Raw genomic sequence first — 15417 nt, 5'->3', positions numbered from 1 at the left:
GGGTATCTTCTTTCTTTCCTACGTGTATTTTGACAGAGCTGTAACAGCCCAGCGTGTTGAATTTTGTGTCCTGCTCTTTTACTTATCATTAGATCATATTCATTTTCTCCCAACAAGTTCACTCTAAAAATACACATGGAAATAGGTGCAAAGTATGATTTCTGGAATCCAAGACTGGATGCAAACCTCAAATCATCCCAAAAAACTTGGCTGAGGTCTAACTCTGCACAGTGTTAGCACTGGCAGTAGGCACGTGACTTAGGACCCTACAGATGACTTAGGTTTGCACAAACCCGTAAAACATTGGGTCCCTGGGGCGTAACATGGGTCATATAATGAGGGTGCACAAAGCTGAGAAAAGAAAGCATGGCCTTCCTTATGAAGGAGGCAGCAAGGAACTTAACTAAAGTGGAGAATCTGTTTTGGTTCCATTTTGCTAATTTGGGTGAGACTTTTTTTTTTTTTTTAAATTCCTGAAGCTGATAACTGAAAAAAAAAATTCAGCTGGTCAAAGGTAAATCATGGTAGAATCAGCTTGGCAAACATAATTGTGCTCAATGTGAAATGGTCTACTGGATTGCTTCCTTGCACAGAAAAGGGACATAAAAGAAAAATCTGGTGACATCTGAATAAGGTCTAAAATTTAGTTTAATAATAATGTATTAATGTTAGTGTCTTAGTTACGATAAACATACCTTGTTTGTGTAAGAAGGTGACCTTAGGAGAAACTGAAGGGTGAAGTTTATACAGAAACTCTCTGTGTTATCTTTACAACTCTTCTGTATAGAATTATTGCAAAATAAAAAGTTTATTGGAAATGTATGGATTTGATGTAAATTGTATCTCAATGAAACCATTACCAAAAATGTATTTACAATGATCAAACGGTGAGTATGTGTATTAAACATCTATTATGTCCCATCTCCTCCTAAAAGATTATTCCTTCCACATCTTCCTAAGCACCCACTGAGTGGCAGGGTTGTATTGTATGATTGACACCTGGGTGACCATGTTGCCAGTAGCATCTCCCCAGAATTGTTTGTATCAAGCAAGTTACCATTCATTCATACATTCAACAAACATTTATTGAATGATTTCTTTGTGCAAGTACTGTGCTAGGTGCTGGGTATACATCAGTGAATAGAACAGATTCGGCTCCTCTCTTTATGGGATTTATAACCTTATTGTGACAAGTCAAATTAGATGTAACCTGATGAGCACCTGATGCTACTATTAAAACTGATAAACATGAGCTCATGTAACAGAGAGGTGTTTTTTTGTTTTTTTTTTTTTTTTGAGACAGAGCCTTACTCTGTCACGTGTGATCATAGCTCACTGCAGCCTTGACCTCCTGGGCTCAACCTGTCCTCTTACCTCAGCCTCCCAAAGTGCTGGGATCACAGGCGTGAGCCACTGTGCCAGCTGCAGAAATAATTCTTAGGATACAGTGTTTGTGGTGAAGGAATGAAACAGAGCACATTGTTTGGGTGGTGGGTTCATATTCTTCCTTAATTATTATTGCTATTTATAATAACATTTATGATAAATTATTGTGAATAAATACAATAAATAATAATATAATATAATAAATAATTGTTATTGGCCAGGTGCCGTGGCTTATGCCTGTAATCCCAGCACTTTGGGAGGCTGAGGCAGGGGGATCACCTGAGGTCAGGAGTTAGAGACCAGCCTGGCCAACATGGCAAAACCCTGTCTCTACTAAAAATACAAATATTAGCTGGGCATGGTGGTGCACGCCTGTAATCCCAGCTACTTGGGAGGCTGAGACAGGAGAATTGCTTGAACCCAGGAGGCGGAGGTTGCTGTGAGCCGAGATCACGCCACTGTGCTCCAACCTGGGCGACAGAGCAAGACTCCATCTCTTAAAAAAAAAAAAAGTTATGTATTGTAATTAATTATTGTTGTGATATTGTTGGAGAATTTAAAATATTTTTAGCATTTTACTTACCCCCACTTTACACACACACACACACACACACACACACACACCCCTTTAATTGTAGTGGTTGAAAGCAAGGACTTTAAAGTCAGGGAGACTTGGGTTTGAATCCTGTTTCTCCAATGTCTTACTTGAGGAAACTTGAGCATTAACTCTATATTTGTAAAACGGAGGTAAAAGTGCTACTGTGATGATTAAATGAGAAATGTGTGTAAAGTGTGTCACACATAGGAAGACCTTAACCAGTGATCATTTTTTAGTGCCCTGTGAGGCAGGGTGGGATGGTGGGGAGTGGTCTGCTTCAAGGTTTCAGGAAAGAATTACACATTTGTGAACTGAAAAACCCAACTATTCGGTTTCTGGTTCTGTGCAATTTTGCTGGAGACTGAAAAAACTGACTCAGACTGTTCTGTTTGGTACAAGGTGGGGACTGCCCCACTCAGTTTCAGCCCATGCTGACAGCTGAGCTGCCTCGGGCAAGGACAACCCTAAACTATTATCAGATAGAGCAGGCAGAAAGCTGTCAGATCAAGTGACAAGACATAGAGAAAAAACATATACATGTTTGAATGTCAGGAGTCCAAGTGACAAATATATCTGAGTTTGTGCAATTATATATTTTTTCTTAGAGCAGAGAATGCAAAATAGAGTATTAGGGTTGATGGCGACTTTAGAGGTCATCTAATCTCAGTGTCACTTAACAATTGTTTCTTTCATCAAATACTTTTGTATGCCCTACTACATGCCAGATAGGTGCTGGGTGGTAGAGAGGACAGTGAAGATAGAGCTGCTCCTTCTAAGAATCCCTAGGCTTTGGCAGAGAAAACTAGAAAACTACAGCCCAAAGAATGTAAATAGCTTGTAAAGATCAAGGAAATGTTTATTTCCTTCCTATGTTTCTCTATATTTTCTGATTTTTCCACAATAGACATGTATCATATTTAACTATATATGTATATTAACTTGGATAGAATCCCACAGCTAACAAGGAAAATAATTTTCTTTGGTGAATAGATCACTCTTGAGTACCTACTATATCTATATAAATCACATTCTCAGAGGCATGGTTCCTGCATCAGAATCTGCTATTGAGTTTTCTTGAAAATGCAGATCTCATGCTCACTCCTCACCTACAAGGGTTCCCTGCATTTGAAACATATTCCCCAAAGGGATTGTGACACCCACTAAAGTTGGAGAACTAGCACCTATTAGGCTAATGGCAAAGAAAGCAGCAACGATTTAAAACTGGCCCCAGAAATTTAAATTAATGAACGAAGTTAATGAAAACAAACACATTTATCTTTTATTAGAATAAAGCCAACTCCTACCTTTTTTCTCTCCAGTGCCACAGCTAATTGCATTCATTATGTGTTTTTAACAGGTGCTATAAATCAGAGTGCTCATGAGAGAGGAGAGCACTGAGAGCCTGGGGAGAGTGGTGAGGGGGAGGGAGCATTCTCCATCTCACAAAATGAAATGCAATACAAGTGGCATATTTCCGTGAAGCAAGCAGCCCAGAGCTCTTGTGGCTGAGCACTTCTCCCCTCCTGCTTGATTTCCAGGCCCCTCTCCCAGCCACCCCGCTTGCTGTGGGTTGCATAACAGTCTTTTCCGGGCCCTACAAATCACAGCCCTGTCCTAATTCTTGAGCAGGCGCCCTTTACACTGCCCAGCCCCACAGCCCTCAGCATTTTGTAACCTCTCTTTTTTCCAGGTTATCATCATCTGTCAGATCTGAAGTTAAACAACAAAAAACATGTCAGTTGAATGGCTGGGAGAGACACTTGGCTGTTTATGAGAAATATTCCATTACAATCTGACGCAAAATGTTAGGATGCATCTGCCAGCACCCAGGCTCCATAGATCTCCTCCAGGCTCAGAGAGGGTCTCTTCGGCAAGCAAGCTGATTAGTGTGTGGTTCCAACCAATGTTTATCCTCTCTGGCTCTGTGGCAAACGCCCTTGGAAAAACCTGGATCCATTGATGCTTGGTCGACTGGTACATTCAGATTCACTCAATTAGAACACCCAGTTTGAGACATAATGGGTTTTGGCGAGCTCCATAGACTGATAGGTTTTTATACACATGCACAGAAAGATTTGATTTCCTCTGCGGAATTTATGGCAGGGGAGAAGAGGTAATTACATTAATTTCTGGTCTGGTTTCTGGGGCTTTCCCTTCTGTTCTCTCTTCTCCTGCCACTTTTTTTTTTTAAGTAGACTTTTTTGGGACCTTGCTTGTATGGATGAAAATGAATTTAATAACTGCCAACAGTTGGTTTGAGTTTGAGGCTGGGTTCCACTGTGACTTCTTGTTCTTTGAGCCGTGCTCTGGGTGAGTTTTAGGAAGCTAATGTGGACAATCTTGTATCCTCTGGTGTGTGTGGGTGAGATGTTGGGGGTGTCCATGTGGCTAGGGAGCAATGTTCACACTGGGAAGAGGTGCTCAAACCCAGGCTTTCTGGAAGGGAACTTGCTCTAATAGTTGATAATGAAGTGAAAACCAAAGTGTGCTCCCGTTTCTTCAGTCACCATTCATGAATCGCCACTTTTTTTTTTTCCCTAATTTCTGTTTTTTCTGTCGTTCACTTCTCTTTACACCTCTCCCTTCCAGGGCAAAACTCAGCTGCAGCGTGGAAATAGTAAGGCAGAAAGAGGCTGAAATCCAGAAGGGTGCTGGTAAGATTGACCATGGTAATGAAGAGGATCAGCACAGTTTACCGTGTTTGCAGTGTTCTTACTCCACTCCCGTCTCCTTTCTGATGCCAAGGCTCTTCTATCCATCCTTGACTTTTTAACAAAGGACTTCCCTCATTAAACTGAAGAGACAAAGGAGACTCCTGAGGGATTTAGAAATTCAATGGAAAAAGCAAAAAAAACAAAACAAAAAAACTCTCAGAGCACTTAACTTCTCTCCCAAAGGACCAGAGAGCCTGCCAATTCCCCAGCAATGCCAGAGCTAAGCATTTTCCCAGTGTCAACATTAAATCCCTTTTTTGTTTTTCTCTTTTAAAGTGTGTTTACAATTGACCATTATGGGAAAGATGATGGATGTGGCCTGGCCCCGTTTAAAATAATAAGGCTAATAATGATACAGTTGTTTCGTGCATACGGACTCTTTCTGAAAGCCTGTGAGCAGAAGGAAAGGGTTGAGGAGCCCAGTGTTTTCAACTTAAGTGTAGCCAGCTGCCGATCATCCCCACGACCCATTGCTAGCTATAACACTTATGCTCCGGCAGACTTCGGAACCTCTTGGCTCCTGCATGCTCTTTTGGAGAAAAGAGCACAGAAGTTTTGAATGAATCTCCAGACCCTGTCCCTGAGATAGCAAGGCTTAGATGGACAAGCCTGGAGTGGACAGCTTGCATTGTGCCCCATGGGGACTCTGCCAGAGAAGCGCATGATCCTTAAGACAGAGATATGGCTCAGTCCTGTATTCCAGGAGAAAGTAGACTCAATGTTTGCTCATGAAATGTCCCTGCGTCCAGCTCTGCTGGTCGTGTCCCTGGCGAAGACTCCCCACCTATGTAGCCAGCAGCATCTGTCCTTGGATACACCATCCCGGCTCTAGCTTTTCCCCAGTAATCAGCTGGCTTTCGCTGGCAGGAGGACCCAGGAGATAGGTAAAGTGGGTTGATTCAGTCCTTGCTGTGGAATTCAGATTAGACTGGGAAAGGAAAAAATTCTCCTGACCAGGGATGCAACAGTCAGGCAGTGAGAATGACCTTCGTGACAATGAGCCGAGATAAGCCTCTTGGCATGAAACAGCTCGGCAGGCAATGATCAGTGGTCTAGGGATTGGCTACAAGTGGCCCGACCCGACCCGGGGAGCAACCGAGCACCAGGAAACTAACCAGCATGTGAGGAACAAAAAAAATCTCCCAATATGCCGAAAACAGCCTGGTGCACAGCAAAACTTCGTTAACAGGCGGCCTGGAGCTGAGTGCTGTGAAGCTGACCAGAATGAAATTGCCCTGAAAGCAACGGGACTGGGTAAAAGAAACCGGAGTAAAATCCACCTGCCTGCTAGTGTGCAACTAACCACTGCGAGGGATGGGAGAAGGGAGGGTCTCGGAGGGCCGCAGGGTGGACCGGGAGGAGACAGGACTCCTGGTGTTCTGGAGAACCTGACCGAGCTGCTTCGGGGATGGGGGAGGGAGGTGTCCAGTGCCTTTTGATTTACAATCGCTGCGCCCCAAGCGATCCCATAAATTTGGGGGCCGTTTTCACCAAAACCGTGAGTTACGATTTTTCAAATAAATACATTTTCCAATCAGACCGGGTTCTGTTTAGGTTGAACGCGTCCCGAAGCAGACATCTCTCTGTGCGGAAAATACACAGAGGAGGAAACGGAGCCGGGACGAAGCTCAGACGACATAAAAACTTATGTAAACACATTGTCATTTACGGGCTTCGGAAGAGAAAGAGAATGAGGGGAGGAAGACAGAAAAAGTTGGGGGAAACACATACATGTTTAATTCTCCCTCGAATCCTCAGGTCCTAGCCCAGAGGGAGGTTAGAAAATGTAATATTCTTTTTCCATAAGCTTGATTTATGTTACTCATTGGACAATAGGCAGCAGCAGGTTTACCTTAAATAGATTTTGTATTTTTGAGGCCTGTTACAGGCCTGAGAATGAGCACAAATGACCCCCCCCCCTCGTACACACACACAGCCACACACATATATGCATAGGCACTCTCTCCTAGTTTTTCTTTAAGAAAGAGCGTGGAGGAGATAAACCAAAATGAATTATTTTAGCAGGGGAGGGTCGTCGATTTCTATCTGTGTGCCCTTGGGCAAGTCTCTCCCCATCCTCTGGGCCTGTGTTTTGCCCGTAATCAGGGGCTACCGTTGCGCAGAAAAGCATTGACACATAATTCTGTGCACAATGGCAAGAACCTCCTGGCCAAAATGTAAAGAACGTCACTTCCTGCTTGGACCCTTTCTGGCCTGACCACCCTCGTCTCAGGAAAGAAGGTAATAAGGGGAGACAGAGGCTGCTGTTCACCCCAGGTCCCCTCTGGAGATCTGGGCTTTAGCCGCGCGTCTGCCACTCATCGGCCGTGTGCCCTTAGGAAAGTTCCTTCCCCTCTCTGGGCTAGTTTCCCGTCTGCAAACAGAACCTTGGAGCTCCCAGGAGCAATCTACTCCGTGCCTATCTCTTCCCTGCCCCGACTGTCCCCCATCCCTGGGAGCAGGCTGGGCCAGATTGGAAAGTCCTAGGTCCTCTTCAGACATGGCAGAGAAATGTTTAAGGGATTTGCGCGCTCAAGCTGCGGGGTAAATGGTCCGCGGGCTGATTTATGGCGCGTTACTGCGCGACGCGATTCCCCAAGACAGCGAGAATATTTTACACCGCGCTAATATAAACAGGCGGCCGGCCGGGTCCTTTTTATGGAGTTCCTGTAATTACCCGGGCCCTGACAGGTCCTTGATTTACTGCCCTATTTAGATAAGGGGTCCGGTGCGGGGATTGCCCGTGGCGTCAAGGTCACGGGACTGCGGCGGGAGAAGGTTTTGCGGTAGGCGCCGCGGCCTGGGCTTCCAGAGGCCTGCCAGTCCGGGGGGCGCGGATAGGGGTGAGGGTAGGAGAGGGGCTAGGGCAAGAGCGAGACCCCACCACTGCAGAACGTCCAGGCTTGAGGGACCTTCGCATTGCCCGGGTACAGCTGTCCTACTGTTATGGTTGGGGGAACTGAGTCCCGTAGGTGACAAGACTGCACCCCCCACCAAGTCATTTAGGGAGGGACATGGGGGTGGAGGGTGGAATCTGGAACTGGAATTCGGGTCTCTGGCAACATAATTCCTACACCTGGCGATGTCTCTGTATCTCCAGTCTTATGATGGCTGGGTTGTGTAGGGTCAGTAGGGAATGGGAAGGAACCTAAGGCAGTCAGAAGCAGCTAGGTCAGGTCAGAACAGAGCCCTGCAAGGAGGATTCAGTGTCCTGGTCCTTCTCCCCATCCAGAGCTTTGTAGTCATGTGGCGGCATGTAATTCCATTTCCGCCCCTATGAAATTAATATTCCTAAAAACAGAGCCACCATTTATCCAGGTTTACTGTCACTGTGCTAAGAGCCTCGCCTTGTGCTTACTCTTACGCCAGCCCTCCACAGAGGTTATTATTGTCCTCCAATTTACAGAAGAGAAAACTGAGGTGTAGAAGCTTCACACAGGGAGGAATGATGTGCACAGTTTTAACTCAGATGGGCCCGATTCCATAGCAAGGTGGAATGTGTTTTATGTGCATAAGCCCTCTACTTTGTAAAACAGGGTAAAGAAGAGTTCCTGCCGGGTCTCACCACTACAACTGGGGGAAGAAACGAGAAGCCTGCATTTGAAAATACTAAGAAGGCCAACCCCCCTGAAGGCACTCTTTAGGTGAGCAAGGTTCGTTAAGAGGAGGCTGCAGGGGCAGTGTGGGCTAGGACCCTGGGAGTTCTAGTCCTTGGTCTGTTGAGGTAGGCAAGAGGAAAGCGGAGTCCTTCTGTAGGGATCCCTGAGCTGAGCACTAAGTCCCAGGAGGAACCAGGGCAGGGTCCCTGCAATAGTGAGGAGCTGGGAATTCCAGAATTCCAGACTATCAATCCTATTCCCTTCTTCTGCAACTGGGGAAACTGAGGCTCGGACTGGAAAGGAACAAAGAGGTGCTAGATAGGGAAAGCCAGGACTCTTGCCTGTCACATCTCTTGCCTGCCAGCCTAAAGCAATTTTAGCCAAAATCCTAGGTCTCAGACCTCCTCCTACAATATAGCTTGGGCAGAGATAGAGAACAACCTTACAAGGTCCCCACCATCCCGGGAGTTCTGCTGCTCTCCACGGACTACAGTAAAGCATTTTGGGGTCTCTGAGAAGGCAGTCTAGAGCCTAGTTGTACTGCAGTCTCCCCCGACGTCATCCTGCTGGGGGTTGCCCCAGCCCCAAGCCTCAGGAGATCCCTTAGGGCTGAGTTTCTGGTGGGGGCACCGCTTGAAAAATGACACTGAATACCTTCTCTAGGTTGGGGAACAGTGCTTTCCACATCACTGGCAGCTGGAGACACCCTGCTCTTTAAGACCCATGGGGGGCTGCCAGGTAGTCTCAGGGGCCCTCAAGGGGTGTCATAGGACTGGGACTCCTCACCCAGTACTGATAATGCATTCCCCACCACACTAACCAGGCCAGATATATGGGGGATGTATACAACCTTGAGTGATCTGTGTAACATCATAAAAGCAACTAGGACTCATATGGGCAGGCGCGTGGGCCACACATTTGTATGTGTGTTATGTGTGAGCATGTGAGAACCTCTATTTGTGAGCACCTGTGCATATGTAGTAGATATTGTGACTGTGTACTTGTGCACTGAAGGCTTAGCGGTGACACTGAGAATATACAAAATGTATGATGGGATTTTGGAAGTTTGTGTTGCGAATACAATTGTGGAGAATCTTAGGAAGATACAAGCTGGTTTAAATTGTGGCAATGAGATTATGTGTGAAACCCTGCATTTGTGTAGTATTCAGAATTTATGTGTTTCTACCATATGACTTTGGTCTCTGTGCATGCCTGAATGGAGGATTGGGAGCGGCTCCCAGGTGTAACACATCTGAAGCGTGATGAGTATGTACCCTGTGGGTGACAGAGAGACAATGTGTAAAATCCTAGGAATGCATGAATGCTGTGTGTACCGTGGCTGTGCGTATTACTGTGAGAATACACATACTTTTGGGCGTCTTATGAAGATACGGGCTTTTGTGTACGGCGGCAAGGTTTTGTGAGCCCTTGTGCATGTACCTGTGAATGTATAATCTGAGGGCCTAGTGTGCCGCTCTGAGAGGCACTGTTGCAGATTGTACTTGGATTAGGACAAAGACTGGGCGTGTGTTGAGGATTGTGTGTTGAGGTCCTTCTCTCCACAGCGTAATTACTCTCTACCTGCGCTCTTTCTAGAATGCCTCCAGGCCAGGGAGGCTTGGGACCCCGCAGAGCCGCCGCAGCAGCGGGCCCCCAGCGCTCCCTCCCCGCGTGCCTCCGGCTCCGCGCTCTGCCCTACCCCAGCGCTGCTGGCGCCAGGCGCCGGGGAGAGCGGGGGGTTTCCAGCCCGCCTCGGGCAGGAAACCAGGACCTCCCTGCACCACCCCCCCATGCACCTCCAGGGCCCACAGCCCTGCTGAGCTCCCACAGGTGGAACCAGCAGGCCCAGGCTTTTGTCTCCGTCACTCCTGTATGTAACCCCCCACCCTTCATTCACTCTCTTGTCCAGGAGTGGAATTCCACTCATCCACTCCCTACCGGACCTCGAGAAAATCGCTCTTCTTCTCTGGGCTTCACGTTCCATATCTGTTCAAGGAGAGAATGGGCCTTTCTCCCTCTGTCTTTGGACTAGTAACTATGATAGGCACATAGTAGGCATCAATAAATAATTGTTGAATGAATGGGTGAATGATTTGCCTTCTAAAAAGAGCACTCACATTAACTTCTCCTTTCCCCCTCCCCTCGACTTTGCTTTGAAGAGAGGCACACTCCCTCTACCACACCGAGGGAGGGGGCGTTGAGCTGAGAAAGGTTGAGAGAATGAGGGACCCAGGTAGGTGGACATCGGCCAAGAAAGGAACCACAGCGGGAGGTAAGACCGAGAGTCCCCAGCTTGAAGCGTCACCACTCCGGGATTCCCAGATTCCAACGCGAGCCTGGGGAAAGCCCACAGTGGAGAGAGTCCGGCTGGCAGGGAATGGCCCTACCCCCGGGGTGAAATCTCGGAGGGTCGTGCAGCCGAGTCGCGCCTCTGCGCTGATGCGTGAGAGATGCCGGACGTCGCGTTTGCCTGTGCGAGCCTCGCGGATGCTGTGCAGTCTTGGTCCCCTCTGCGTGTGTCTAACGCCGAATGCTGGTGTCTCGAGGTGTGAGCTTCGGGGCCGGTGTCTTTAAAGAACCAAAGATTCTTAAGGAGTGATGATCTGGGTAGAGCGGCCCGACGTAGCCGCGCTCCCAGGTCTCGGTGCGAGTCCTGCGGACAGACCAGAGGAGACCTGCTGGCCAGATGCCCCGGGCCCAAGGCGGACGCCAGACTGTCTCTGCGCCAGCCGGGCTGGCCTTCGGAATGGATCAGGCACCCGGGAGGCCGGAGTGGATCTCAGACCCTCAAGCCGGGAACAAACCCGTCGATGCCCGTGGGCCTGGAGTCCGCCTCCTCCTTCCCGCCCCACCCCTACCCCTGCCTCCGAAAGGCTTCTTCGCTGGTCAGTAGCTGCGTGCCCGTCTGCCTGAGGCTGGGTCAGAATTGGCGGGCTGGTAACGACCCCGTGCACAAGCGGCTCCCAGTCTCTCCAGAAAGGGCCGATGACTAAGGGGTGGGGGTGGGGGCGGAGGGCTGGAAGGTGTTAGGGAAGAACGTTAGCGGCCTATCCTGTCTTCAGCAGCGCCCTCTCATCTTCTAGCTCTGACGCCGAGCAGAGCAGTTGGAGCTCGGGACTGGGAACTGCTGGAATTCCTATTTAGACTTCTAGACAGTCTAGAAACAAGAACCTTTCTTTCCCTGGGCCTCAGTTTCCTTGTCTGTAAAATCAAAAGGCGGGCTCTAGGTGTAGGCCTTCTTTTCGCTTGGTGATTCTGGATTCCTTTCCTTGGATCCGTGGGGAGGGGGTGGCAGCAACAGTCCAGGGCGTTGGCCGTCCTGTGCCTCAAGTACGTAGTCCCCGTGCCCGCCCCCTCAACACCCCCAGCAGCCCGCCCCCCTAAGCCCGCAGAGCAGGGAGCTGAGTGGGAGGGGCAGAGGCGGGGCCGGTTCCCAGTCCCTGCTGGCGGACTAGAGTGGCGCGGGCTGAGCGTAAAACCTGGGATAGCCACTCCCCCTTTTCCTTATCCCCGCCCCCCTGCCATTGGCTCCCGGGAGAGGTTGACATCAAAGCCGCGGTCTTATATAAGCCAGATCCGCAGGGGAGTCCGCAGAAGGGTTAAACAGGTCTTTGGGCTTCGGCGACCTCGCCCGCGGCAGAAACCGGTAAGAAGACAGTGGGCTGCGCGTCTCATTTTCAGCCTTGCCCGGACTCTCCCAAAGCCGGCGCCCAGTAGTGGCTCCAGAGCCCACAGGTGGCCCCCGGCAGTCTCTGGGGCGCATGGAGCGGCGTTAATAGGGCTGGCGGCGCAGGCCAGTAGCCGCTCCAACATGAACCTCGTGGGCAGCTACGCACACCATCACCACCATCACCACCCGCACCCTGCGCACCCCATGCTCCACGAACCCTTCCTCTTCGGTCCGGCCTCGCGCTGTCATCAGGAAAGGCCCTACTTCCAGAGCTGGCTGCTGAGCCCGGCTGACGCTGCCCCGGACTTCCCTGCGGGCGGGCCGCCGCCCGCGGCCGCTGCAGCCGCCACCGCCTATGGTCCTGACGCCAGGCCTGGGCAGAGCCCCGGGCGGCTGGAGGCGCTTGGCGGCCGTCTTGGCCGGCGGAAAGGCTCAGGACCCAAGAAGGAGCGGAGACGCACTGAGAGCATTAACAGCGCATTCGCGGAGTTGCGCGAGTGCATCCCCAACGTGCCGGCCGACACCAAGCTCTCCAAGATCAAGACTCTGCGCCTAGCCACCAGCTACATCGCCTACCTGATGGACGTGCTGGCCAAGGATGCACAGTCTGGCGATCCCGAGGCCTTCAAGGCTGAACTCAAGAAGGCGGATGGCGGCCGTGAGAGCAAGCGGAAAAGGGAGCTGGTGAGTCCTGGGGCTTGCATGCTCCAGCCAAGGGTGCAGGAGCGGTGAGCAGCCTCAGGCCATGCAGGTAGTCGAAGGAGGCTGTGTTGTCCTGTGTCCGATTTGGAAAGGTTGGGAAGAGTTCTGAGATGGTTGGTCACAGCGTGCGATCCTGTGCATGGAGGGAGGCAGATTCGTCATAGAATTCATTTGTAATACGGGAGAGTGTTTGTAATACTGAGTGAATAATCTGTTTGGAGCCTCGGACCCTCCAAAAATGCACACACCACAGGTTTTGCTTCCAATTTGGAGAAGTCCTGATTCATTCCTGGGCTCTCCTGGAAGCCAGGTTAAGAATATGTGTTAAAGTTCTTTACTTTGAGTTTGAATTTATGTGCCCGGGCTCGGTTCCTGTTTTCAAAGGGCCTTTGCTGGACCGGCTAGTCTACTTCCATCATTGTATAAATAGGGAAACTGAGGGCCCAGAGTGGGTCGGGGCAGGAAAAGCACCTATCTGAGGAGTCCAGGGTGGAGGTGAGGTAAAACAGATCGGGTCTTCTACTCAGTCCAGGGCCAGTTCTGGTTCTCCCCATGGACTGGTTCTGAGGACGACTTCAGTGGCTTTGCATGTAAATAAGAGCCACTTCTTTTAGCTTTGGAGAGCGCAGTCTCGTCTTGGCCTTCTTGATCCTCTCCGGTTAGGGTGACACTTCCTGGCACTCGGTCTGGCTGTCCGGGGCTGGGGGCTTCTGAGCGCTGGGTTTTCAGGCTGGCCAATCAGTTTCTCTAGGTTGGGGGGCTTAAGGCCGTAGCGGAGTGGAGCCAGCTGAAGCGCCCCACCTGGTTTATCCAACCTGCGGGGGCCTGTGGTAAACTGACGAAAGCTCATCCAGGGACGAGGGAAAGATAAATAGGCATCGAGTCTCTAAACGGCTGCCCCGGACTGGGGATGGTGCAGGCCGGCTTCTTTCGAGGTGCGGCGCCTCGAAAGAAGTTGTTATTGGGCGGATCCCGGCCCCCACGCGTCGCCGCCTCCTTCAAGTAGCACCGCTTGGTTCCTGCTGAAAGAGCGGGAAGGAGGACGCTAGGCCAGCTCGACTCCCCGCTCTTTTACCTCCGTATCTGAGGCTCCCAGCTCCGGCTTAGGGGGCCCCAAGCCTGCATCCAAGCCCTGATGTTTAAACCAGGTTGGGAGGCTGGCGGAAGTGTGTGGGGTGCAGCGAGAGCGGGAGAACCGTGGATTTCCACCCCTCCCTTCCAATATCCTGGGATCTCCCTTAGGTGTCCTAAAGCCAAATCAACGCGCGTCAGTTTCACCAGACGCAGAACATTTTCCTTACCAAACCTCCCGAAGCTGCCCAGCCCATCCCGGGTCCCAGGAACTCCGCGCATAAAGGCAAATTTACGAGCCTGTTTGCCTATTTCGCAAACAGAAATCCGTCACTTATTTAAAGACTCCCAGTTACTGCTCCCGACACCTTCCCCTCCTCCTCATCTTACCCCATGCCGGGCGATCGGAGCAGAAAAATTAAAACCTGTCTCTCCCGCCTCTTTTCTTCTGTGTGTCCTTTGGCAGCAGCAGCACGAAGGTTTTCCTCCTGCCCTGGGCCCAGTCGAGAAGAGGATTAAAGGACGCACCGGCTGGCCGCAGCAAGTCTGGGCGCTGGAGTTAAACCAGTGAGCCGAGGCCCGCGCCGAGGACCTGGCCAGGCCAGCCACTCCTGAAGCCCCGGGAGGAGAGGAAGGCAGCGGCGAACGCCAGGCTCTGGGCTCCGGCGACTGGTGCTACGCATCCCGCGGAGCTTCTGCTGAGCGCCGGCAGGTCGTCGGCTGCAACCACACACTTGGATCGCACGTGCAATGTCCTTTGATTTTTTTTAATACATTAAGAGAAAGAGAAATATATATATATCCACCCCCAGCCCAACCGAGGGCGGCCCTTGGCGGCAACATGCAAGAAGGAGGGACTGTCGAACCCAAGGGCTCAAAGACGCACTCTTCCACCCTTTTGGAGCGAATTTAGAACCTCAGCCCTATCTCCATTTCCCTATCTGGCTCTTTCTCTCTTGTCCCTCCATATGATCCGCCCCGACGCCGTCTTCTCTAATTAAAATGCAATAAGGAATCAATTCTTTTCTGCCTGAGAAAGAGAACCAGACGCAGGAAGATGAAAGGCTGCCCTTTGTTCTTCGAATCGTGGTGGTTTTATTTTATTTTTCTTTTTGTCGCTGCACTTCCTGTTTAGTTCCAAGGGAAACACTTTCTCTCTTTCTCTGTCTCTCTCTTTTCTTCCTTCTTTTCCTTCCTTTTTGTTTCTATCTAAATAAAAGCTTTCCCTGTGTTGGAAAGTTTTTATGTATTTAAACTACCTACCATGCCTGTTGTGCTCAGGTGTTTGTTCATCCTGCCATCCCCAACCCTTTTCTACCTCAAGTCTGTGTGACCACTCACAGCCCCCCTCCCTTCGCCAAAGCAGTGTCTATGCTCTTGATTAATAAAACATTTTCTGAAATCATCTGAAGCCTGTGTCATGTCTCAACCGGGGTCCCTCACCGACTCCCATGGCTTCTGCTAGGTGGAAAGCCTCTGTTCCTGCTCCTCTTCTTTTGATAAACACGAAACCAAACTTGAAATCAAGGGAAGCCGGCAGATAAAGAATGTATTTCAAGAACAAGAGCAAAGTTCTCTTTAGACTAGAACGGGAGGTGGGGGTAACTTATGGGAACGGGGAAGAACAAAAACGGAAACGAATTAGTCTCAGAGGGCCTGGGCTCGGGTTTTTGTGCG

At 50.0% G+C, this 15417-nt stretch overlaps 1 protein-coding gene across 2 annotated transcripts, besides 6 other annotated features; it reads left to right on the top strand.

The window, feature by feature from the left end:
- Window positions 5459-5958: an enhancer, noted in NCBI's record as "H3K4me1 hESC enhancer chr5:153863719-153864218 (GRCh37/hg19 assembly coordinates)". NCBI's record gives its function as "activates a minimal SCP1, AML or CMV promoter by ChIP-STARR-seq in primed H9 embryonic stem cells {active_cell/tissue: H9 hESC(primed)}" and the evidence as "EXISTENCE:reporter gene assay evidence [ECO:0000049][PMID:30033119]".
- Window positions 9917-9966: a silencer, noted in NCBI's record as "silent region_16543". NCBI's record gives its function as "represses an Ori minimal core promoter by ATAC-STARR-seq in GM12878 lymphoblastoid cells {active_cell/tissue: GM12878}" and the evidence as "EXISTENCE:reporter gene assay evidence [ECO:0000049][PMID:35858748]".
- Window positions 9917-10442: a biological region, named in NCBI's record as "H3K27ac-H3K4me1 hESC enhancer GRCh37_chr5:153859235-153859744".
- Window positions 9933-10442: an enhancer, noted in NCBI's record as "H3K27ac-H3K4me1 hESC enhancer chr5:153859235-153859744 (GRCh37/hg19 assembly coordinates)". NCBI's record gives its function as "activates a minimal SCP1, AML or CMV promoter by ChIP-STARR-seq in naive H9 embryonic stem cells {active_cell/tissue: H9 hESC(naive)}" and the evidence as "EXISTENCE:reporter gene assay evidence [ECO:0000049][PMID:30033119]".
- HAND1 (heart and neural crest derivatives expressed 1) lies at window positions 11890-15145 on the top strand. Of its 2 annotated transcripts, none has more exons than XM_005268531.2 (2): window positions 11890-12651; window positions 14210-15145. In XM_005268531.2, the coding sequence occupies exons 1-2, from the start codon at window positions 12109-12111 to the stop codon at window positions 14309-14311; spliced, it is 645 nt and encodes a 214-aa protein (XP_005268588.1). In that variant the 5' UTR covers window positions 11890-12108; the 3' UTR covers window positions 14312-15145. The 2 variants fall into 2 exon arrangements, with proteins under 2 accessions (XP_005268588.1, NP_004812.1); NM_004821.3 differs by having other exon boundaries at window positions 14207-15145.
- Window positions 13216-14070: an enhancer, noted in NCBI's record as "H3K27ac-H3K4me1 hESC enhancer chr5:153855607-153856461 (GRCh37/hg19 assembly coordinates)". NCBI's record gives its function as "activates a minimal SCP1, AML or CMV promoter by ChIP-STARR-seq in naive and primed H9 embryonic stem cells {active_cell/tissue: H9 hESC(naive and primed)}" and the evidence as "EXISTENCE:reporter gene assay evidence [ECO:0000049][PMID:30033119]".
- Window positions 14225-14412: a silencer, noted in NCBI's record as "fragment chr5:153855265-153855452 (GRCh37/hg19 assembly coordinates)". NCBI's record gives its function as "represses an EF-1alpha promoter that drives an FKBP-Casp9 reporter gene in an ReSE screen in K562 erythroleukemia cells {active_cell/tissue: K562}" and the evidence as "EXISTENCE:reporter gene assay evidence [ECO:0000049][PMID:32094911]".

Source organism: Homo sapiens, chromosome 5, assembly GCF_000001405.40.
Source record: "Homo sapiens chromosome 5, GRCh38.p14 Primary Assembly".
In the NCBI taxonomy this organism is placed as follows: Eukaryota; Metazoa; Chordata; class Mammalia; order Primates; family Hominidae; genus Homo; species Homo sapiens.
This window is presented reverse-complemented; position numbering and strand designations above follow the sequence as displayed.